Source organism: Homo sapiens, chromosome 19, assembly GCF_000001405.40.
Source record: "Homo sapiens chromosome 19, GRCh38.p14 Primary Assembly".
NCBI classification, from domain to species: domain Eukaryota; kingdom Metazoa; phylum Chordata; class Mammalia; order Primates; family Hominidae; genus Homo; species Homo sapiens.
The window spans coordinates 33,694,419-33,718,557 of record NC_000019.10 but is presented as its reverse complement, the minus strand read 5'-3'; the positions used below and the strand labels follow the sequence as shown (position 1 = coordinate 33,718,557).

Sequence of the window (24,139 nt, the reverse complement as noted above, 5' to 3'; positions counted from 1 at the left end):
AGGGGACGGAGGGTGGGAGCAGATTCTACAGGGTGAAGGGGACATGCTAGCTGAGCCTGCAGAGGAGTGCGGGGAAGACTGCCTTGCCCCACAGAATGCAGCAAAGTGCAGGACTTGGAAGCACCAGGACAGGCAGATGGCAGGGGTGAAATGTGGGCTTAAAAATCTAGTGGCAGTTGGGCACAGAGGCTCACGCCTGTAATCCCAGCACTTTGGGAGGCCAAGATGGGAGGATCACTTGAGTCCAGGAGTTCAAAGCAGCAGTGAGCTATGATTGGGCCACTGTAGTCCAGCCTGGGCAACAGAGCAAGAGTCTGTTTAAAAAAAAAAAAAAAGAAAGAAAAAAAGACAATCCAGTGACCAGGCAACTATCCCCTACTGCACCCCTGGCGGGAGATGGAAGATGTACCTGCTGAGGAAACTGCAAATAACCTATGGACTCCAAGCTGGGAGGAGGAGCAGGGAGCACTGCTTTCAGAGGACTAACTGGGAGGCTTCAGACAGAGTGATCAAAGCCCTGGCTGCCTTCCGGTCCTGTACACACTGGGGGTCTTCTGCCAGGATGGAGACTGCAAGTCCGTTTGGTATAGAATGAACTGCATTCCCCTCCAAATCCACCTTGAAGTCCTAACCCCCAGTACCTCTGAATGTGACTGCAGATAGAGTCTTTGCAGAGGTAATTAAGTTAAAATGAGACAGGAATAATACAAGGTGGCCACAGGAGAATAAAAATTCCAGGCAGTAGTTTCATATGACACCCTGAAAAACAGGGTGTGGACCAAGCTGGCTAAGACCAACTGGGCCCAACATGGCACTAGATATGACCTCGGTTTCTCCTAGGACCTCGCTGTATGCTCATTAACATCCTAACTCACTCACCCACCAGTGCTGTGACAGTTCCGAGACCACCCATGTTTGGTGTAAAAACGTGTGGCACTACAGTTCTAAGAAATCTCCACTTTTTTCCCAGGAATTTTCATGAATATTCCACCCCTGGATTAAATAAACGCATAAAGGTAGCAGCCCCACACCCCACCACACGACTCTTGAGTCTGCCGGCACTCCTTTCTTGAGCGTGTACTTTTTTTTTCTTTTTTGAGATGGAGTCTCGCTCTGTTGCCCAGGCTGGAGTGCAGTGGTGTGATCTCGGCTCACTGCAACCTCTGCCTCCTGGGTTCAAGCAATTCTCCTGTCTCAGCCTCCTGAGAAGCTGGGACTACAGGCGCGCACCACCACGCCTGGCTAATTTTTGTATTTTTATTAGAGACAGGGTCTCACCATATTGGTCAGGCTGGTCTCGAACTCCCAACCTCAGGTGATCTGCCTGCCTTGGCCTCCCAAAGTGCTGGGATTATAAGCATGAGCCACCTCACCCAGCCAGAGCATGTACTTTTCACTTTGTAATAAATCCCTATACTTGCACTATTTTCTGAATTCCTTCTTGCAAGGGTGTCAAGAGCCTGGACACTGGCTGGGGTTGAGGCCCCACTGGCATTCGAGGACCTCCCCCAGCCCACCGGTATCAAAAATGGAGTCATTAGAGTGTACCCTAGTGATCCCTAGAACGGGTATCCTTATAAAGAGGAAATTCTGATGCAGACAGGGGCAGAGGGAAAACCATGGGAGGACACAGGGAGAAGATGGCCATCTACAAACCCAGGAGAAAGGTCCCAGAAGAAACCGACGCTGCCCAATGCCTTGATCTCAGACTCCTGGCCTCCAGGACTGTGAAAAAACACATTTCTGTTGTTTAAGCCACTTAGTCCATAATACTTTGCTACAGCAACCCTAGCCAACTAATGATTCTCCCTTGGAACCAAGAGGGTTGACTCCTCACCCGAATACCCTGAAGAAAAGCTCTTCCCCCTCCTTCCGATTACAAAATCAGGTGGCTGGGTGTGGTGGCTCACATCTGTAATTCCAGCACCTTGAGAGGCCAGTGCGGGAGGATCGCTTCAGCCCAGGAGTTCGAGATCAGCCTGGGCAACAGAGTAAGACCTTGTCTCTACAAAAAGGAAACAAAATTAGCCAGGCATGGTGGCACACACCTGTAGTCCCAGCTACTGAAAAGGCTGGGGTAGGAGGATTGCTTGAGCCTAGGAAGTGGAGGCTGTGGTGAGTCGTGATCGTGCCACTGTACTCCAGTCTGGGTGACCGAGTGAGACCCTGTCTCAAAAACAAAACAAAATCAATCACATGTTTATTGCTCCACTCTCAACTATGAATGGGTAACTAGGGCTCATCAAGCATCTGAGGACAGCCTCCACCACAAGAGACATCAAAAGAAGCAAACAGAAAAAGATGACATCAGAGGAAACAGAAATAATTCAGGAATAGCCATAAAACTACAAACAGTTTAAATATGAACCAGAAAGGAGCTGGCTAAATAAACTAATGGTGCATCTTTACAACGAACACTGAAAGCCACTGAAATGGGTGAAAAAAATCCGTCTCGATATGGAAAGAGGTTAAGAGGTCCACCCTGCAGTGTTAAGTGAAAGAAAACAGACTGTTTTTGTTTTTGCAAATGACGCATCTATAAGAAGGGTCTGGTAGACGTTGGGTGACAGGCTTGCAACATTGCATGTGTTGAGAGTATCTTTCTAAATGGACCCACACATATGCCAGGTGTAAAGCCTCTATGGACTTCCTGACCTCCCAGCTTATTCCTGTTTGACCTGGAGAGAGGGCCAGGAACTCATGTACCTGCCTGGAGAAGCTAGCATGGGGCCAGGCACACAGCAGGTGCTCAATGACTGCTTACTGGATAAACAGATGGATGAATGGATGGATGAATAGGAGGGATAGGAGGCAGAGGCAGCTGGTTGGACATGATCGTAAGCTCATGCAGGCAGCCAGGGACAACCCAAGGCCAGCTAGCCCAGCAAGGTGAAGGTCAGCCTGAGCTCTGAGTCATCTGCCTGCTGAAGATCTGCACACCTCCAGGGGTTCTGTCACCTCCTGCCTGAGCAGACACTGATGCCCAGAAAAGAAGTTTAACCTGTTGAGTTGTCAAGGCAACCAGAAGCATGCTGGGATGCAGAGCTGACAGGCCCAAGGAAATTCTGCCTTCCATTTCCTAAATTACTATCCTATCAAGTTGTCTCTCAAGGTCTGATCCTATCTATCTGTTCAGAAACAGGCCCTCTGTGTCACTGATTTCTCTCCCTGACCCCAGTTTCCAGGAGAAACTGCTACCACCCAGCCAAGAGCCCCATGTTACCCACATGGGTCTGAGCTCCAGCAGGGGCTGAGATCATGCTGGAGACAGCAGGACAAGGCAGGTGATGCCACAGCCAGAGAGGGGATTGGGAGCTTCTGGCATTCACACACGTCCATGACCTTGACCAAACAGCAGCCCTGGGCGAGTCGGGAAGGGGAGGACCAGGGCACAGGGTGAGAAAGTGACTTGGTCAAGGGCAGGACCAAAGTTCTTTCTTGTCTGGAGAAGCTTGGAGGGCAACAGGGCAAATATGAACAGAGCAATTGTGTGGAGGAGTGATCTTGAGGAACAGGAATGGAGGGAGAAGTGACAAGTCACCATGGTGCTGGGACAGAGCCTGTGGAGGGAGGGGCTGGCTGGATCTCTCAGGGTGGGCTGCAGAGGTGTATTGTCCATTTTCATGCTGCTGATAAAGACATACTAAAGACTGGGCAATTTACAAAAGAAAGAGGTTTATTGGACTCACAGTTCCATGTGGCTGGGGAGGCCTCACAATCATGGCAGAAGATGACAGGCATGTCTCACATGGCAGCAAACAAGAGAAGAGAGAGACTGTGTGGGAAATTCCCCTTTTCAAAACCATCAGATCTCATGAGACTCATTCACTATCACGAGAACAGCACAGGAAAGACCCACTCCCATGATTCAATCACCTCCCACTGGGTCCCTCCCAGGACATGTGGGAATTGTGGGAGTTACAATTCAAGATGAGATTTGGATGGGGACACAGCCAAACCATATTAGTGGTGAAGTCCAGGCTTTTAGTGTACCCATCACCCAAATAGTGTGCTTTGTACCCAATAGGTTTTTTCCTCCCCCGTGCCCCTCTTATCCTCCCACCTTTGAGTCTCCAATGTCTATCATACCATTCTGTATGTCCATGGGTACCCATCGTTTAGCTCCCACTTACTGAGAACATGTGGTATTTGACTGTTTCTGAGTTATTTCACTTAGGATAATGGCCTCCAGTTCCATCCACATTGCAGCAAAAGACATGATTTCATTCTTTTTTTATGGCTGCATAGTATTCCATGGTATATATGTACCAGATTTTCTTTACCGAATTCTCTCTTGGTGGACATTTAGGTTGATTCCAAGACTTAGCTACTGTGAATAGTACTGCTGCAAGAAATATAAGGCAGGTGTCTTTTTTATAGAGTGACTTCTTTTCCTTTGGGTAGATAGCCCGGTAGTGGAACTGCGGGATCAAATGGTAGTTTTACTTTTAGTTGTTTGAGAAATCTCCATACTGTTTTCCATAGAGGACACTGGGGTTTTTAACACCTCCACAGGTGATCCTAACAAGCAGTCAAGGTTGAGAACTGTTGTTCTAAGCAACGCCTGCCCCTCCTGGTGCAGGTAGATTGAAGGAAGCCACAGTGTTCTGGCTGTTCTTGCCCCCAGCCCTGCACTCCTCAGCCAGGCTCTGTCAGGGATTCTGCAGCTCAAAAGAGTGGCAGGTTCAAAACCCCCAGTGGCTGGGTGTGGTAACTCAACGCCTGTAATTCCAACACTAGGAGGCCAAGGCGGGTGCCCGTTCGAAGTCAGGAGTTTGAGACCAGCCTGGCCAACATGGTGAAACCCTGTCGCTACTAAAAACACAAAAATTAGCCGGGCGTGGTGGCAGGTACCTGTAATCCTATCTATTTAGGAGGTAGACAGGGGCACTTGAACCTGGGAGTTGGAGGTTGCAGTGAGCCCAGATGGTGTCACTGCACTCCAGCCAGGGCAACAGAGCAAGACTCTGTCTCAAAAAAACAAAAACAAAAACAAAAAAAGCCCCAGTGCCAGCCTCCCCAGTGGACATAACTCAGAATACTCAGGTTTTGCCTGAGAGCTATATGCTCCCAGGAGAAATGGAGACCCTGTAGGAAAAGAGGGAAGTGGGCAGCTGCTTGGCCAACTGCCCAGGCTGCAGTGGCGTTCATGAGAATGTCACTCACCAAGCATGCCATTGCATAATTGGCTCCCCTGGGAGGGCACCATTGCATCTCCCAGGTGATGGTGGCCTACCAGGGGAGCCAATCCTCCTTCCTCCATTAGGAGATCGCAGATCTTGAAAGGAAGATGTGGCATCTCCACAGACTGCTGTGGGTAGCGAGAAGCAGCAGGTGAACTTCACCTGCACCCACCCACAGAATCACATTAGGTCTTGGGATGACAGTGAGCACTGCTAGGCTATGGACCCCCTCATGTGTGTCAGGGATGGAGGGGCTTATGTCAGAGGAGGCTGGGGTTGCCTATGGCTGGTGGGGAGTATGAGTGCCAGCCACCCGATGCTGGGCTCAGCACCTCATCAACGATGCCCAGCTGCTCTCCATGGGGCGAGGGCCACATGGGTTGGCCAGCCTCCATATACATCATTGAAGGAGGAGCCACAAATGAGCCCCAGGGCTATGGATTTTGACAGCACGTCCCTGAAAGTGAAGATGGACAGATGGTAGAGACCAATATACAGACAGGCAGAGTGAGAGGGCAGAGGGTGATCAGGGCAGACACTGAGCAGGGGATCCCAGCACCAAAGTTGGGGGTGGGGGTTTTGAGACTCGGGCAAGGAGTCTCCTCCTCAACTCACTTGGCTTGGGTCAGCCCCTACTCAGGATAGAGGGAGTGCTCCCACCCTTAGGCTCCTGTGAGACAGTCTGCCGCTGCAGTGCAAGGCCTAAAGTTAAGACCCTTAAAATTATGTGCTACCTTGACACCTGGAGCAAGTGTGGGCGGCTGCAAATGGACTAACGGCAAGTTCCTCTCCCCACTGTTCGCTTGGATAAGTCCCCCAGCCAAATGACCTACTTATCAAGGGACTAGGCACAGTGCCTGCTGATTCACAAGTAGCAGGTTTCACTCCCTGCCCGCCCATGGAATTATTCAAACAAACCCATGACATCCTCCCACAGCAACCAGGGGTCACCTCACCTTCTTGATACTACAAAGCCTGCCTCCCACAGCCCCCGCTTGTCCACCCTGTTTCCGAGTGCAACCCCTGCAATCCTCCTCCCCCAGGCTTGGGCATAATAACAAATAAACTGCTGTTGATCTCTTCTGTCCAGTGTTGAGTGCTGGCCATCCCCATAACCATGGATGGGAATCCCCCCTCACCAATCGGGTGAACGGGAAGTGATTAAACAGCCACCCAGCTCTAGGAGTGGGCTCTACTGGGAGGGGTCAGTGCAGAGGCCAGAAAATATACATCACAATTCCAGTGACTAGCCTTGTTTTAAATAAAGTCCAAAGTTGGTTTTTGTTTCTTTGTTTGTTTTACTATCCTTATTGTCTTCCCTAACAACATAAAGATCTTATAGACCTTTTCATTCCAATTACGGTTTCCTGTCTAAACTTCCACGTTGTCGCTGTCCTTACACACTGGCAAAATTAGTGTTTATTATTTTTAAAGTAAATATTGGCTGGGTGTGGTGGCTCACATCTGTAATCCCAGCACTTTGGGAGGCCAAGGCAGGCAGATCATTTGAGGTCAGGAGTTCGAGACCAGCCTGGCCAACATGGTGAAACCCCATCTCTACTAAAAAATACAAAAATTAGCTGGGTGTGGTGGCGTGCACCTATAATCCCAGGTACTCGGGAGGCTGAGGCACGATAATTGCTTGAACCTGGGAGATGGAGGTTGCAGTGAGCCAAGATCATGCCACTGCACTCCAGCCTGGGTGACAAAGATTCTGTCTCACCAAAAAAAGTAAATACTTATTTATACTTAACAATGTTCCTACAATTTATTTCCTTACTACTACTTCTTGTATCCATTCTTTCTGGTTGCATTTTCTTCTTACAGAAGTACAGAAGTATACAATAATTTATACTACACAATGACCATATGATTTATCATCAAATAAACCCACTTCTGAGAGTAAGGGGGCACTGATAATAATTACACCAGGCCACAGGTGTAAACTAGGATTGTCCCAACATACTCCACCAATGGCCAGAGGTTCTGATACCTTCTGAGGGCTCTATTTACAGAGCAGTTGCACTTCCAGCTCAGCACTGTGGTTGAGTCAGAGACCTCATCTCCTGTCTGTGTAGATATCAAGACCCCAGTCCTAGACTTAGGGCTTCTGAAAGAGCTGAGTGAGAAGCCTGGTAGCTTCTTTCCCAAAATGAAATGACGGAACAGGAAAAACAACAACCATCACCATTTAAAAAGTTTGGGCCAGGCATGGTGGCTCACACTGGTAATCCCAGCACTCTGAAAGGCCAAGGCAGGAAGATTGCTTGATATCAGGAGTTCAAGACCAGCCTAGATAATATAGTGAGATGCCTCTCTCAACAAAAAATAAAGAAATTAGCTGGACATGGTCATATATGCTTGTAGTTCCAGCTACTTGGGGGGCTGAGGGAGGATCGCCTGAGCTCAGGAGCTTGAGGCTGCAGTGAGCTATGATCATACCTCTGCACTCCAGTCTGGGTGACAGAGTGAGACCCTACCCCTTAAAAAAAAAAAAAAAAACTCCAGAAATTGACCAAAAGCATACAACATATCAAGAAGCGTTTATTCAAGAAAATCTACTGAACAGTGTGAGGTTATGGCATTGTAGCCTGGGGCTGCTTTCATCACCTTGCCCAGTTCCCTGGGGGCTTACATTCTACCAAGGGGAATCAGGCATGAACATTGATTGATTGGAAAATTCCATGCCCAAGAGTGTTGCTGAAAATAATTCAAAAATCTTAGCTAGCCCAAGGTTGTGATAAAATTGGTAGAACCAATAGATCAGCAGATCAGACAGAAATTTAATAAGAAGATCTGGAAATCAGACAATTAAAGTTGACTAAAGCTAACACAGTGCTTAGAGGAAAATTTATAGCAGTAATGTCTATATTAGAAAAGAAGAATCTCAAATCAATAGCCTAATCTTCCACCTTAAGAAATGAAAAAAGAAGAACAAACTAGATCTGAAGCAAACAAAAGAGAGGAAGTAACAAATAAAGCAAACAAAAGAGAGGAAAAAAGGACAAACTAAACCTGAAGCAAACTAAAGCAAGGAAATAATAAAATACAAAGCAGGAAAACAACAGACAAAAACAATGAAACTAAAAGTTGGTTCTTTGAAAAGATCAACAAAATTGACAAACCTTTAGCTAGACTTTGAAAGAAAACAGAGAGACAATACAAACTACTAACATCATGAATGAAAATGAGGACATCACTAGTGATTATAAGAGAATACTATGAACACTGTTATGCTAAACAAATGAGACAACTTGAATGAAATGAACAAAGCCCTAGAAAGACATGAACAAAGCCCTAGAAAGACATAAATTACTAGAGCTGACTCAAGAAGAAATAGAAAACCTGAATAGAACTATGGTGAAGACATTGAGCTAGAAATTTAAAATTTTAAAGTCTGGAGCCAGGTGTAGTGGCATGAACCTGTAGTCCCAGCTACTTAGGAGGCTGAGGCAGGAGGTTCTCTTGAGCCTAGGAGTTAGAGGCCAGCCTGGGCAACAATAGCAAAACTCCATCTTTAAAAAAAGTAATGTCTCACAAAGAAAAGTCTAGTCTCAGATATCTTCACTGATAAATTCTAATAAACATTTAAAAAGAAATAATGCCAATCCTCCCTAAACTATTCCAGAGAAATAGGGTAGGAGGAGGTAAAAATACTTCCCAATTCATTTTAAATCCTGTATTAATCTGATAGCAAAGCCAGATAAAGACATCACAAGAAAACTACAACTATCCCTCAAAAAAAAAAAATCCACAACAAAATTTGAGCAAACTTAATTCAGTAACATATAAAAAGGATTATACACCATGACCAAGTGAGATTTATCACAAGAATGTGAGGCTAATGTATCAATATAATACACCGTTTTGACAGAATAAAGGATGAAACAACATAAACATCTCAATAGATGTAGAACAAGTATTTGACAAAATCCAACACCTATTCATGGTTAAATTTTTTTTTCTAATAAACTAGTAATAGAAGACAATTTCCTGAAGGTCATAAAAGTCATTTGCAAAAATCCTAGAGCAACCATTATACTTATTGGTGAAAGATGGAATGTTTTTCCCCTAAGATCCGGAATAAAGCATGAATGTCTACTCTCACCACTTCAATTTCCTACCATACTAGAGGTTCTAGTCAGTTGAATCAGGCAGGAAAAAGAAATAAAAGGCATTCGAGCTGGAAATGACGATGTAAACATCTCATTATTTGCAGAGAGCATAATTCTGTATGTAGAAAATCTTAGGGAATTTACATAAACAATTAGAATTAACTAACAAATTACAGGTTCCAAGATAAATATACAAAAATCAATTGTATTTCTATATATTAGCAATGAATGATCCCAAAATTAAATTAGAAAAACAATTCCATTCACTGTAGCATCAAAAAGAGTAAAATACTTAGGAATAAATTTAACTAAAGAAAGATAAGACTTGTATACTGAAAGCTACAATATAATGGTAAGAAGAATTAAAGATGATTTAAACAAGTGGAGAGACATTCCACGTTCATGGATTGTAAGATTCAATATTGTTAAGAAGACAATTCTCTCAAGTTTATTATTACAGTCAATGCCATTCCTATCAAGTCACAGCAGGTGTTGTTCTTTTTGGCAGAAATTGATGAGCTGATCCTAAAATTTACATGGAAATGCAAAAGACTCAGAATACCCAAAATGGTTTTGAAAAAGAACAAAGCTGAAGGATTTACACTTCCTGATTTCACAACTTTTTATAAATCTATACTAATCAAGACACTGCACTATTGGCAAAAGAATAGACATACAGATCAATGAAATAAATTGAGATTCCAGAAATAAACTCTTAAATTTATGGTCAATTTATTTTTGACCAAGGTGCGAAGGCAATTCGATAGGGAACAGATAGTCTTCAGCACGTGCTGGGAACTGGGATAACTGGATATTCACATGCAAAGAGAAGAAGTCAGACCTCACACAATACACAAAACGTGGCTCAAAATGGACCGCAGACACAGATGTAACAGCCAAAACTTAAAAACTTAGAAGAAAACATAAGAGAAAATCTTTATGGCTAAGATTAGGAAAAAATTTCTTAGACGCAACACAAAAAGCATAATCCATCAACGAAAAACATGTTGAATTGCACTTTTTCAAATTTAGAAACTTTTCCACTCCAGAAGACACTATTAAGAAAATGAAAAGACAAGCCACAGATGGGATAAGTTATTTGCAAGTCAAATAATACTTATATCTAGAAAATAATTACAACACAATAAAAAGATAAATAAACCAATTTTTAAAATGGGCCAAGCCTTGAATAGATATTTCACTAAAGAATATATCCAAATGGCTAATAAGCACATGAAAATATGCTTAATAGTACTCATTAGAGAGATGCAAATTAAAACCACAATGAGACACCACTTCACACCCACTAGAATAGCTATAATTAAAAAGACAGATAATAACAAGTCTTGATGAGAATGTGGAGCAATTGGAACCTTCATACCCTGCTGGTGAGAATGTAAAATGGTACAGCAATTTTAGCCAACAGTTTGTCAGTATCCCTTAAATTTAACGTAAATTTACTATTACAACCTAGCCATTCTACTCCTAAATATTTACCCAAGAAAAATGAAAACATAGGTTTGCATAAAAACTTTCACATGAATGTTCATAGCAGCATTAGTCCTAATGGCCAAAAGTATCAACAATCCCGTATCCAGCAGCTGGTGAACAGATCAACCGCAATTCCATGTAATAGAATAATATTATTTGACAATAAAAAGAAACAAACTGATATGAGTAAATATCAAAAAATATGACTCTCAAAACCATCATGCAGAGTGAAAGAAACCAGATATGATAGACCACACAGTGTATGATTACATTGATATGAAATGTTTAGAAAGGGTAGCGCTATAGTGATAAAAAGGAGATTTGTAGTTGCCTGGGGCTGAGGGTGAAAATGGGGAGTGATTGAAGTGGGCACAAAAGATTTAGTGGCGGGGGCAATGGAATTATCCTAAAATTAGGTCAGGCTAGGTGGCTCATGCGTGTAATCCCAGCACTTTGGCAGGCCAAGGCAGGAGAATCACTTGAGGCAAGGAGTTCAAGACTAGCCTGGGCAACACAGCAAGACCCTGTCTCTACAGAAAAATTGGAAAGTTAGCCGGGCACAGTGGCATGTGCCTGTGGTCCCAGCTACTGGGGAGGCTGAGGTGGGAGGATCGCTTGAGCCCAGGAGTTTAAAGCTGCAGTGAACTCTGACCTGCACTTTAGTCTGGGAAACACAGCACCCTACCCCTGCAACACTGCTAAAATACCTGCTTGGGAGGAGTCAGGGTGGACCCCAGAAAGTCCCCATCACCTTACTCACTGTGAGGCCCCATTGGAGCAGGGATCTTTCAGTAAACGTCTCTAAAATAAGTGAGTGAAAGTGGAAAATTTCCCTGGCAGGAATAACACACCTCCTCCCGGCCTGTGGTCCTCCCACAATCATGGCCTGTCCTTTTCACTCCCCAGTGAAGGGACGAGGCCTGCACACATTTTGCAAGCTCTGTGTGTTGTACACGCTTGACGCGCACAGTTGATTTAAGCCCAGAAAATCCTTTAATTACTGCCGCTACTTCTGGCTGGGTTCTGGGAAGGAACTAATTCAAGCAGCGATCACTTGACCTGAAATATTATGAATGTAATTTCATTATTTGGTCTGTGCGGGTCGTGGGCAAGGGGTTACAATAATTGGCTTTGCTGAGTGCCTGCTGGAATGGCAATTTGTCACCCAATCCTGTGGCTGACAACCGACAGACAACTCACTCTGTGGGGCCCAAGTCATTTGCCCCTGCCTGCCCCATGACCTGGCAGGTGACATTGTCAGGGTACGCTCACAGCAGCCAGCCCAGACTTCAGGGTGAAGTGCTTTCCACATGAACCGTAAGGCATCTGTCCACCCATGGGTGTATAGTAATACTGAGGTGAGCACACATACTTGTACACAGCTAGGATTATGGGTGAGGGCCAGATGCACACACACATGCACACACATGGGCACCTGACTCTTCATCAGGACACACACACGTGTGCACAAGAACCAGAACATGTCTGCTGTGAGCAGGAATGAAGCACGCCCTGACAGTCTGAAGGGCAGTGCCGTGCAGCTCCCCAACCTCTAACCCAGGCTGGCCCTCCAATGCCATGCATCTCATAGTGTGGTGCTTGCTCCCAGCCCTGAGTGGTTGTCCGGTCACCAAGAAGACTTCAGACTTTTGGGATCTGAGGAACCGGGTTTTAGTTCAAGCACTGATACTTCCTGGCTGTGTGACCTTGGGCAAGTGACTTTGCCTCTCTGTGCTTCAGTTTTTTCATCTATAAAATAGAGACGGGTACAGCGAGGCTCTGGCATGAGGATATTGGTAAAGCATGTAAAACACAGTGCCTGGTACACAGTAGGCACTGAGTGCTCACACCATCATCATTGCCCATACCACACCCCTGGATGCCACCTCCTTGAATGCTCTCAGGACTCTTGGGTCCCTCTCCTAGTACTGGGGACATCGCTGTGACACAGAGGCAGCAGGGAAGGCGAATCTGCAGAGTCCCTTGCTGGGCCAGGCCAGGCCCCTCTCCAAAGGGACCCTTGCTGAGTGTGGCTGCCATGGTGCCCTAGGGGGGCAGAAAGGGAGCCAGGGTGGCCATGCCTGCCACACCCCATCACTGTGGGAAGCAGGCTGCCAAGTCAGAAATCCTCCTCCATTTACACCCACGGGCACCCACACCCGCATCTCCAGGTAGATACTGGAGAGAGTGCCCACTCGCAGGAAAGCTTTGCTTGAATTGATTCTTCCTTTGCTACAGCAACAGAAGCTTGTCAGTGGGTGCAAATATTTGCATGTGAGTAACTGTGCGTAAATGAAGGAGGTTTTAATTAGGTGCGCTCCCCAGAACCCCACTCTCTGGCCCTTGCCTTCCCTGTATCTCTGCTGACCAGTCACCTCCCCGACCCCTCAGGTCCCCTGCCTGACCTGAACAGTGAACAGGTATCTGGCAGGGCTCCCGGCTGCTGAACCAAACAATGCCACTGAGGGGCTCTGTGCAGCCACTGTTGGTCAGCGGAGCCCAGGAGATGCTCTGCTCATGGACCGCTTGGGGTCTGGCTTCATGGGGGTCCTATGGGGCTGGAAGTAATTCTTAGCATCCCCTTCCCACCAGGAGACCCACCTCCTCTGTGTCCTCCCAGGGGGTATAGGGAGAGCAGGCATGGAGCCAAATAGGGCCTAGGGGGCAGGTCTCAGCCCTACGGGGGTTTAGGGTATTGGAAAGATCTAGTCCTCCCAGCCCATCCAACCAACAGTAGGTGCCAAACATCACCTATTATCTAACGTTAAAAAACACATTCCAAATTAGAGCTGCCCCTTTAAAATCAGGAGAATCCACATAAATGTATGTTACCGATTCTTAGCTTTTTTTTTTTTTTTTTAAGACAGCATCTCACTCTGTCGCCCAAGCTGGAATGTAGTGCGTGATTTCAGCTCACTGCAACTTCCACCTCCTGGGTTCAAGCTATTCTCCTGCCTCGGCCTCCTAAATACCTGGGATTATAGGTGCCTGCCACCAACTCCGGCTAAATTTTGTAATTTTAGTAGAGATGGGGTTTCACCACGTTGGCCAGGCTAGTCTCGAACTCCTGACCTCAAGTGATCCGCCTGCTTCGGCCTCCCAAAGTGCTGGGATTACAGGTGTGAGCCACTGCACCTGGCCAGATTCTTAGCTTTTATAAAAAACAAAACAAAAACAAAAAGGATGACCTGGCCACCCTGGACTTACACTCCTGCACAGAGCTCTGGGCTGGAGTGGAGCATCGGTGGCCCCTGGCCCTGGGGCCTGTCTGTCCACTTCCCCCTCACCCCATCCCCTTTCCCCCATCCTGTGGTCTCCCGCTCCCTGTGGCTCTGTCAGGCCTACTGTCTGATGGATCCCAGTGACCCTGCACAGTTCCCATGGACATCTCCTCATTCCCCTCCCTCCAATGCAGACCCAGACCCTGAGGGCAAAGGTCAAATGCACTCATAAATGGCTGTAGCCTTTGGAGGAGGTGGGATGGGGTCTTGGGACTCCATCCAGGACTTGAGGAATGCCAGGAGCAGCCTTCCCATGGTGAAGCACCTTTGGACACAACCAGATGTAGTGAGGGGCTCACGGATCATCATCCCTGCAGTCCCGCCCTGGTGGAAAACCAAGACCAGGCACAGAGCTTGGTGGGGAGCTAGGATGGGGCCAGCCCACCCTCTCAGAAGTCTTCAGGCCTTTTGGGGAGGGCTGAAAAATGCCTCATCCAGGCCTGAGGGCAAGATGACAGGCAGCCCCCGACTTCCCTCTGGGACCCCAGACGCGAACATGAGAAGCCCCCAGGAGCTCCTCCACCCCCCACTAGGAGCCTGCGCTGTGCAGGGACTCCCCAGTGGCAGCTGTCAGAGGGCACAACTGAACCGATTTAAGCTCAGCTATTTTCCCCACATAAAATAAAATTTCAAAATGAGCGAATCTTCCACTGACTTCCACTATGATTCAAGTCAAAACTGCAGAGCCACAAATCCTGGAAAATAAGCTTCATAATGAAAACATCAGCAGGCATATAATGGTGAAGCTTTTTTGGCTTAAATGAGATCCGCCCAGAGGCTCCCAACTTCTGCAAATATTGTGAGAAGGAGAGGGGGATCTGCAGTGACCCTAAAGGCACCACAAATGGTGTCAACCTCAATGCAAGAGCGGGATAACCCCACCGGCAGGCAGTTGGAGCCCAGCAGAAGGTGCGTCTAGCCCCAGGGTGTGTGGGCCCGCGCCCGCCCCTACCGACCCACGCATTTGGCCTCCAGAACTGGACCTCCAGGCTTCTGTTGTCATAACTACCACCGTAACTTTTTCAGAGTTTTAAAAAACCAAGACCTACGCAGTGGCCATGGAGAAGGACAGCAATCGTAGCAACAGCCCTGTCCTTGGAGCGTGGGTGGACTCCTCACCACTTCCCTGCTGCCTGTGTTAGGAACAGGGGCTCGAGGACATCAGGAGGGTTGGCACACGGTGGGACCCCACCGGGCCCTTCTTCATGCTGGCAGTGGGTGTGCCCCGTTTCAACCCACTGGATGTCTCCAGGCCCTCCCCCTTGGCCCTGAGACTCCAGGCCAAGTGAGGCTGGGGGAAGGGGACAGAGCCGGGCAAAGGGCCCCCTACCTCGGGCCTCTTTGGAGCCTGGTGCCACTTGGGGAGTGGAGTCTCCCCTGCCCTCCACCTCTCCACGGCAGCTGCCCTGGGCTGTGCGGGAGGCTTGGCTCTGATGCCAGGTGACTCTCACTGAAGATGCTCAGGCAGTGAATGGGAACAGAGGTGGGGGAGGTGTAGGCACAGGAGGAGGGAAAAGAAGTCCAGCCATGTGGCATCCCTCCCCAGCCCCCAGCCTTCAGTCCTCCTTGGGCTCAATGCCTGGCCCTCGGAGCAGTCCCAGCACTCCAGACCCGAGGTAATCCTGAGGCATCTCATGCACAGATTGTGACCTCCGCTTCCTCCTCCCCCGGTCCCTCCAATGCATTCTGGGCCAGGCAGAGTGGGAACGGGGTCACTCCACACCTGAGACCTGCTCTGGGCCCTCTGGGCTGTGACTCACACGGCAGGTGAACAGAGCCAGATTCATCCCCCTCGGGGGTCCTCTGGGGAACAATTGGCCACTGTGGAGACGCAACCCAACACTGGGGCTACCTGGGGACGCAGGACAAGCATCGGAACCGCCTGCCCCTCCTGGACCCTGCCCAGGCCCCCACATAATGGGAGACCCAGTTTTCCAGTTGGACTGAAATTTCAGAAGGTGTCTTTGTTGTAGGTTTTATTAATTCAACCAATGGAAGAGCCTTGGGGCTTCGGTTTGGGGAGCTGACAGTTGCCACAATCTGCTGGGTGTTGGCAAGAAATGTCCTTTGAGAAAAATGGTAGAATAACATCAGAAAAGAAAAGAAATATCGAGGAGTTTGAGGTGGCAGAGAGCTATGATCATGCCACTGCACTGCAGCCTGGGTGACAGAGCAAGACCCCTTACCTTAAAACAAAACATAGGCCGGGTGTGGTGGCTCACGCCTATAATCCCAGCACTTTGGGATGCCAAGGCAGGTGGATTCCTGTGGTGGATCACCGAGGTCAGGAGTTTGAGACCAGCCTGGCCAACATGGTGAAACTCCGTCTTTACTAAAAATACAAAATAAACTGGGAGTGGTGGTGCATGCCTGTAATCCCACCTACTCGGGAGGCTGAGACAGGAGAATCGCTTGAACTTGGGAGGCGGAAGTTGCAGTGAGCTGAGATCCAGCCTGGGTGACACAGCGAGATTCCATCTCAAAAAACAAAAACAAACAAACAAACAAACATATAGACCATGACATTAACTAATAGCAAAAGGAAAGAAGGACAGAGAAGGGGGAGCACAGGCTTTGGAATCAGGCAGATCTGGGGTCAAATCCTGGCTGAGCCACGCAGGCTTCAGGACTTTGGGTAAATGAATGAATCTCCCTAAGTTTCAGTTGAGGATAAAGACGCCTGCCGAGGAGGGCGAGGGAAAATAGAATGAGTACCACGTGCCAGGCACCCAATAAACAATAACCCTGACTACATTTCATGCACATTGAAGCTTGATTACATTGTCTCATTTTATAAATTACCATCATACACGTGCGTTGGAGCTCTGCGGTTTTCAAAGCCACTTTTGTCCATGACTTCATTAGATCTCCTCTTCTATTTTTAGCATGTTACTGTAGTTCCTTTTAAAACATAAGTCTCACTCTTATTGGACATGATTGTCCCAATTTTCTATTCTGCTCTCCTTTTTAATTTCCCCGCCCCTAGGAACTTTTAGCATAACAATTCTGGGACCGTTTCTATTAATATCAATTTTCAGATTACAGCGATGTGATGTCTGTTTCCTAATTTAATTAGGTGATTCCTGTTATTACTTCCTACATGCTCATTATTTTTCATTTAGCATATTTTAATGTACCAAAGGAAAGTGAGGCTCTGGCTAGAGACCCCCAGGGTGTCTTCTGCAGGAAGAGGCGAATATTCACTCCAATTGCAGGGGGTGGAGGAACCCAGGAAATCGTGGCCACGTAGAAGACTGGGAAGACACAGGATGGCACTGCTAAGGGGAACGGCCTGGGCTCAGGTGAGAGAGGCTTGAACTGAGAAACTTTCACTGCAGAGACAGGGTCCACAGTGGGCTCCCCCTCCAAATCAGGGCCTCCCAGGGAGTGTGGCAGTGAAGGTCCTTCATGACCCCCACCCTCAAACAGCAGAATTCAATGATGGTCCCAAAGCTAGCACCGCCCAGACGCATCAAACCCACTAGGCTCGGGGTATCCAGACCTGAAGGTTCCATGTTCCGACCCTGCCTATTTCTGGCACTTGGGCAATCACCACGCAAGGAGCACTCCATGTCCATCCCTCCATCAGTACTGGTCTTTGCACAACTCCAGGGGACACCCTTCACACTGCAATCTATGTGAACCATACCCCAGAATTAGCATAAAGCACAGTGTGGGTGTGTCCCTGCTGGGTGCAAAGTAGCAACTGGGGCTTGGCTTTCTGTGCCCCTGGGCTCTGGCCACCCTCTCTGCCCCTCCCCACCTCCAATTGTGCATAATGATGGCTGGCCTGGCCTAGGAGGAACCCCCACGAAGACATTCTGGAGTTTATGAGAAAAAAGGAGGGCAGGACTTCCAGAGCCACGCTTGGAAGAAACACTGTGACAAGGACCCCACCCACAGCCCTGAGCGGAGAGCCTGGTGCATTAGGTGACAAGGAGAAGGCACTCCAGGAGTACTGAAAACCCAGTAGGTGGCTTTCCCTGGAGTGAAATTGTCTCTGCTGTGGCCCAGGAAAAGTGAGGCATGGGAGGGCGAGGTGGCCCTTGCCAGCCTTGGGCGCTGTTCAGGAAGAGAGTTTGAAGCTGCAGGTGCATTGTTTAGAAACACTGGGTTCTGAGAGTTCCAGCCCTGCTGATTTTGAGATAATGTATTGCCAGCTACTTAACAGGATGGATCACTGCAATTACATGTCACTTCTGATGTTCACAGTCACAACAAGGATGTGTCAGCCTCCCAAGGTTTGTAGGAAATATATATGATGTTCCGCAATGCCGTTAGAAAATGGTTTCAGGAAACAGACGCAAGAGGGTTCCAATAAAACCCACCTGCCCGGGGAAAGCAGCCGGCTCCATGGAAACTGGAGGGGCAGGTACCAGCCCAGGAAGGAGTCTGGGCTTAGACGCCCAGCTGCGCGAGGACCGGACTCTCTCTGAGAGGGCCAGTAGACATATTTCCCCTGCAGCCAACCTGGCCCAGCTGCTCAGAGAGAGCAGGTAGGGGTGGCCGCTGCACTTCTGTTGCCTCTATCACCCTCCTTTGGGTGAGCTGTTGAGAGCTTCTTAGCAGGCGCTCCTGTGGTCCTGGCCCACCCACGACATTTGTCCTGGCATTTGTCTCAGAGCTCCAGGGGGACACACTCAGAACATGACAGTCACTGTAGGAGCTGGACAGACCTTCTGACATTGCAGTTTGGTCCTCCGAACAGGCACAGGCAGGGCAGTGTGTCCCTGGTAACCCTGGGACGCAGAGTGAAGGCCACACTTTCTCCAATCAACACAGCGCTGCCTCCAGGACATCAAAACAAGAGCCCCGGCATCAGGCAGACCCGCGGGCATTGGACTTCTGGCTCTATTCATTTCTAGCTGTGAGATATTAGGCATGACGCATAGCAGCACGTGCTGCGGAGGGAGACCCCTGGCTCCACTGGAATCTCACCCAAGCCCGCTTCACTGCTTCCATTGGAGGTCAGCACCTCCTGTTCACTAGAGAGGACAAACAAGCAGCCCACAGTTCCCCTCTTCCAGGAAGTCCTCCTGGCTCCTTCAGCACTCACCTCTCAAGAAAGGTTTACAACCTGCCTTAAGTGTCCCCCAGGCGCCGCTGAGCCAGGGCCAGGTCTCCCCTCCACTGCCCCCAGATTGGGAACCCTGTAAGGAAGGGCCTGGATAACCTCCTTCCTTGACCCCCACAGATTGTGAGCTCCCGAGAGCAGAGCCCGAGCTTCCTCCTCCCGTGTCTCCATCTCCCTGTGCACCCCTCCCCTGCCTCGGTACAGCTAAGCGGCTGGGCTTGCAGGGCCTTCACACAGATGGGCATGTACAGATCTCTCCCTGTGGCTGGCAAGCCCAGGGACCCAGGCATGGAGGTCCCATCCCAGGACAATGTGAGGTTTGGGCTGAAAAGCATGAATCTCCATGCTGGCATCCAGCCCAACGGGGAGCAGGGACAGCTTCCAGGATACTGGTTTCCTGGCCTGGAAATGTGGAGTAGATGTAAGTCCAGAGCTGCCAGCCCCTCTCCCAGGGCAAGGCTCTCCCATAGCCCTCCCCACCCTGCATGGTGCCAGCGTCCAGGCCTGGGGTGTATGAGGGTAAAGGAGTGAGTGTGTCGACCTGTGAGTGGAAACGCAGGTGCAGAGGGGCGAGGGCATGGTGGGGGCTTCCTGCCTGTCTTGCCTGGTCCTTCATTCTGTGGGGCTGGACACCCCTCGGTGGAGGAGCTACAGGGAGACTCCACACACCCTGCCAAGCATCTCAGACACCATAAGCCCCAAATGGAACCTGTGATCTCTTGCCCCATTGCCCCGACCTCTCCCCATCTGGCACATCTGCCCCAGTGAATGGCACCCCCAACCTCCCTCCTCTAGAGCCAGAAACCCAAGTCCCCCTGAACCAAGACCACTGCCCTCCCCGCCCTCCTCACCTCCTTGTCCTCTCATTTGAAAGGTCTCCAACACTGCATGCGATATCCTTGGCTGCCCCCAATCTCCTTGCATTTGTTGCCTCTCCCTGTCTGCTCTCTGCCCACGGCCACACAACAGGCAGCCACCAGAATGAGCTTTCTTTCTTTCTTTCTTTCTTTCTTTTTTTTTTTTTTCTTTTTGAGATGGAGTCTCGCTTTGTCGCCCAGGCTGAAGTGCAGTGGCACGATCTCAGCTCACTGGATAAAGGATTGTAGTTGCCGTGATCTCAGCTCACTGGATAAAGGATTGTAGTTGGCGCGATCTCAGCTCACTGGATAAAGGATTGTAGTTCTTTTAAAAGAACTACAACCTCTGCCTTCTGAGTTCAAGCAATTCTCCTGCCTCAGTCTCCCAAGTAGCTGGGACTACAGGCCCATGCCATCACGCCCGGCTTATTTTTGTATTTTTAGTAGAGGCGGGGTTTTGCCATGTTGCCCAGGCTGGTCTCTAACTCCTGACCTCAGGTGATCCACCGCCTCAGCCTCCCAAAGTGTTGGAATTACAGGCATGAGCCACTGCGCCCAGCCCAGAATGAGCTTTCTGATGCACCACTCCCTACTCCGGGGTCCCCAGAGCTCCTTGTTGCCAGAGGCCAAGGCTGGATCCTCTACCACACTGCAAGGGCCTGCTGGGCCCAGGGCCGGCTGTGTCTTCAGCCAGGAGTCTAGATCCACAGGTCATGCTGCAGCCCCTAAATCACTTAAAGTTCTCCACGTGCCGCATTCTCTCAGGACTCCAATCCTTTATCCACACTGTTCTCTCTGCCCAGGCTCTGCTCCAGGTCCGGAACACAACAATACTGGGTACCCCAAGTGCTGGGCAGACAGTGTGGTACAGTGAACCACAGGCAGCCGCCCAGGCCACATCCTAGCTCTGAAGCCCAGAAGCTGCGTGGCCTTGGGTACGGTTCTTAGCCTCTCTTACCTCAATAGTCTCATTTTTCAAATGGTGTAATAATAATTCACTCATAGGGGTTTTAAAGTATTACATGAGGCCGGGCACAGTGGCTCAGACTATAATCTCAGCACTTTGGGAGCACGAGGCAGGTGGATCACTTGAGGCCAGGAGTTCGAGACCAGCCTGGGCAACATGGCGAAACCCCGTCTCTACCAAAAATACAAAAGTTAGACGGGTGTGAAGAGGGGGGTGCCTGTGGTCCCAGCTACTCAGGAGGCTGAGATGGGAGGATCACTGGAGCCCAGGAAGTCAAGGCTGCAGTGACCTGAGATCACACCACTGCACTGTAGCCTGGGTGACAGAGTGAGACTCTATCTCAAAAAATAAATAAATAAAAATAAAGCATTAAATGAAGAGAAAAACAAATAATCCCATCAAAAAGTGGGCACAGGACATGAATAGACATTTCTCAAAAGGCTCACAGGCTGGGCAAGGTGGTTCCCGCCTGTAATCCCAGCACTTTGGGAGGCTGAGGCAGGTGGATCACAAGGTCAGGAGTTTGAGACCAGCCTGGCCAAAATAATGAAACCCCATCTCTACTAAAAATACAAAAAATTTAGCCAGGCATGGTGGCATTAGAACATGTAATCCCAGCTACTTGGGAGGCTGAGGCAGGAGAATCGCTTGAACCCGGGAGGCAGAGGTTGTGGTGAGCCAAGATTGTACCATTGGACTCTAGCCTGGGCAACGAGAGCAAAACTCCGTCTCAAAAAAAAAAAAAAACTTAAAAAACAATAATGTTGGCATGGATGTGGTGAAAAGGGAACGCTTTTCACTGCTGGTGGGAATGTAAATTAGTACAACCACTATGGGAAACAGTGTGGAGATTCCTTAAAGCAGCGGTCCCCAACATTTTTGGCACCAGGAACCAGTTTCGTGGAAGACAATTTTTCCACGGTCTGGGGAAGGGAGATGGGGGTGGGGAGGTGGTGGTTTCGAGGTGGTTCAAGCACGTTACATTTATTGTGCACTTTATTTCTATTACTATTACATTGTAATATATAATGTATATACATGGATATATTATTACATGTAATATATCCAGTGACAGATCATCAGGTATTAGATTCTCATAAGGAGCGCACAACCTAGATCCCTTGTATATGCAGTTCACAAGAGGGTTCGAGCTCTTCTGGACTCTAATGTGGCCACCGATCTGACAGTAGGCCGAGCTCAGCTTTGATAGCTCGCGCACCACTCACCTCTTACTGTGCGGCCTGGGTCCTAACGCAGGGGTTGGAGACCCCTGCCTTAAAAAACCAAAAGTAGAACTACCATTCAATCCAGGAATCCCACTCCTGGGTATCTACTCAGAGGAAAACTCATCATATGAAAAAGACACATGCTCATGCATACTTATTGCAGCACAATTCACAACTGCAAAGATACGGAACCAACCTAAGTGCCCATCAACCAATGAGCAGATAAAGAAAATGTGGTGACCGGGTGCGGTGGCTCACGCCTGCAATCCCAGCACTTTGGGAGGCTGAGGTGGGGGGATCACCTGAGGTTAGGAATCTGAGACCAGCCTGGCCAACATGGTGAAACACTGTCTCTACCAAAAATACACAAATTAGCCAGGTGTGGTGGTGGGCACCTGTAATCCCAGCTACTAAGGAAGCTAAGGCAGGAGAATCGCTCCAACCCAGGAGGTGGAGGTTGCAGTGAGCTGAGATTACACCACCGTACTCCAGCCTGGGAGACAAAAGCAAAACTCTGTCTCAAAAAAAAAAAAAAAAAAAAAGAAAGAAAGAAAGAAAGAAAAAGAAAATGTGGTATATATACACCATGGAATACTACTCAGCCATAAAAAGGAACAAAATAATGTCTTTTGTAGCAAGTTGGATAGATGGGGAGGGCATTATTCTAAGTGAAGTAACTCAGGAATGGAAAACCAAATACCGCATGTTCTCACTTATAAGTGGGAGCTAAGCTGTGGGGACCTAAAGGCATAAAGTGATACAATAGACTATGGGACTCAGGGGACAAGGCTGGGATGGGGGGTGAGGGACAAAAGATTACATATTGGGTATGGTGTACACTGCTTGGGTGACGAATGGGTGCCCTAAAATCTCCTAATTTACCACTAAAGAACTTACCCACGTAACCAAAAACCACCTATACCCCCAAAACTATTGAAATTTTAAAAGTAGTAAATGAGTATTAAATATATGAAAAGTGCTTGTGATTGTGCCTGGCTCATCTCGAGGGCCTGAGAGCATTAGCTAGTATCAGTATTGTTGCTACTTCTGTGTCTGCCCCAGTGAGTGCTGGCACATTGTCTCAAACTAGACATCGTTTATTTGTAAGAATCATACCTAGCCAGTTGTGGTGGCTCACACCTGTAATCTCAGCACTTTGGGAGGCTGAGGCGGGAGATCACTTGAGCCCAGGAGTTTAAGACCAGTCTGGGCAACATGGTAAGATCCTGTCTGTATAAAAAATAAAATAAATAGCTGGGTGTAGTGGCGTCTGCCTGTGGTCTCAGCGGCTCAGGTAGGAGGATCACTCGAGCCCAGGAGGTCAAAGCTGCAGTGAGCTTTCATGGCAAGACTATACACCAGCCCGGGCCACAGAGCAAGACCCTGCCTCAAGAAGGGAAGGGAAGGGAACAGAAGGGGAAGGGAGGGGAGGGGAGGGGAAGGGAGGGAAGGGAAGGGAAATTATATGCATTAGAACATGTAAAGCTAGGCGTGGTGGCTTACGCCTGTAATCCCAACACTTTGGGAGGCCAAGGCAGGTAGATCGCCTGAAGCTCAGGAGTTCGAGACCAGCCCGGCCAACATGGTAAAACCCCGTCTCTACTAAAAAGATAAAAATTAGCTAGGTGTGGTGGTGGACAGCTGTAATCCCAGCTACTTGGGAGGTTGAGACATGAGAATCGCTTGAACCTGGGAGGCGGAAGTTGCAGTGAGCCAAGATCATGCCACTGCACTCCAGCCTGGGCTACAGAGCGAGACTCTGTCTCAAAAAAGTAAAGTTCTCAATACGAGGCCTGGCCCATGGTAAATGTTCAGTCAATATTCATTATTATCTTCATCGTTAAATTTCCCCATGCCCTGCAGGAGTGCCCCAAGACAGGCCACAGACCTAGGAGTCATCGGGGGCTGTCCAATCCCATTGTCTGTGCCAGGGGTCCCTGAGGGG

At 48.5% G+C, this 24,139-nt stretch overlaps 1 protein-coding gene across 6 annotated transcripts in view, besides 1 other annotated feature; it reads right to left on the bottom strand.

Annotated features, from left to right (window-relative positions):
• CHST8 (carbohydrate sulfotransferase 8) overlaps nt 1-24,139 on the bottom strand; it is a 151,557-nt gene that overhangs the window by 54,952 nt on the left and 72,466 nt on the right. The window lies entirely within an intron of this gene.
• Nucleotides 15,453-16,026: an enhancer, noted in NCBI's record as "H3K4me1 hESC enhancer chr19:34193437-34194010 (GRCh37/hg19 assembly coordinates)". NCBI's record gives its function as "activates a minimal SCP1, AML or CMV promoter by ChIP-STARR-seq in naive H9 embryonic stem cells {active_cell/tissue: H9 hESC(naive)}" and the evidence as "EXISTENCE:reporter gene assay evidence [ECO:0000049][PMID:30033119]".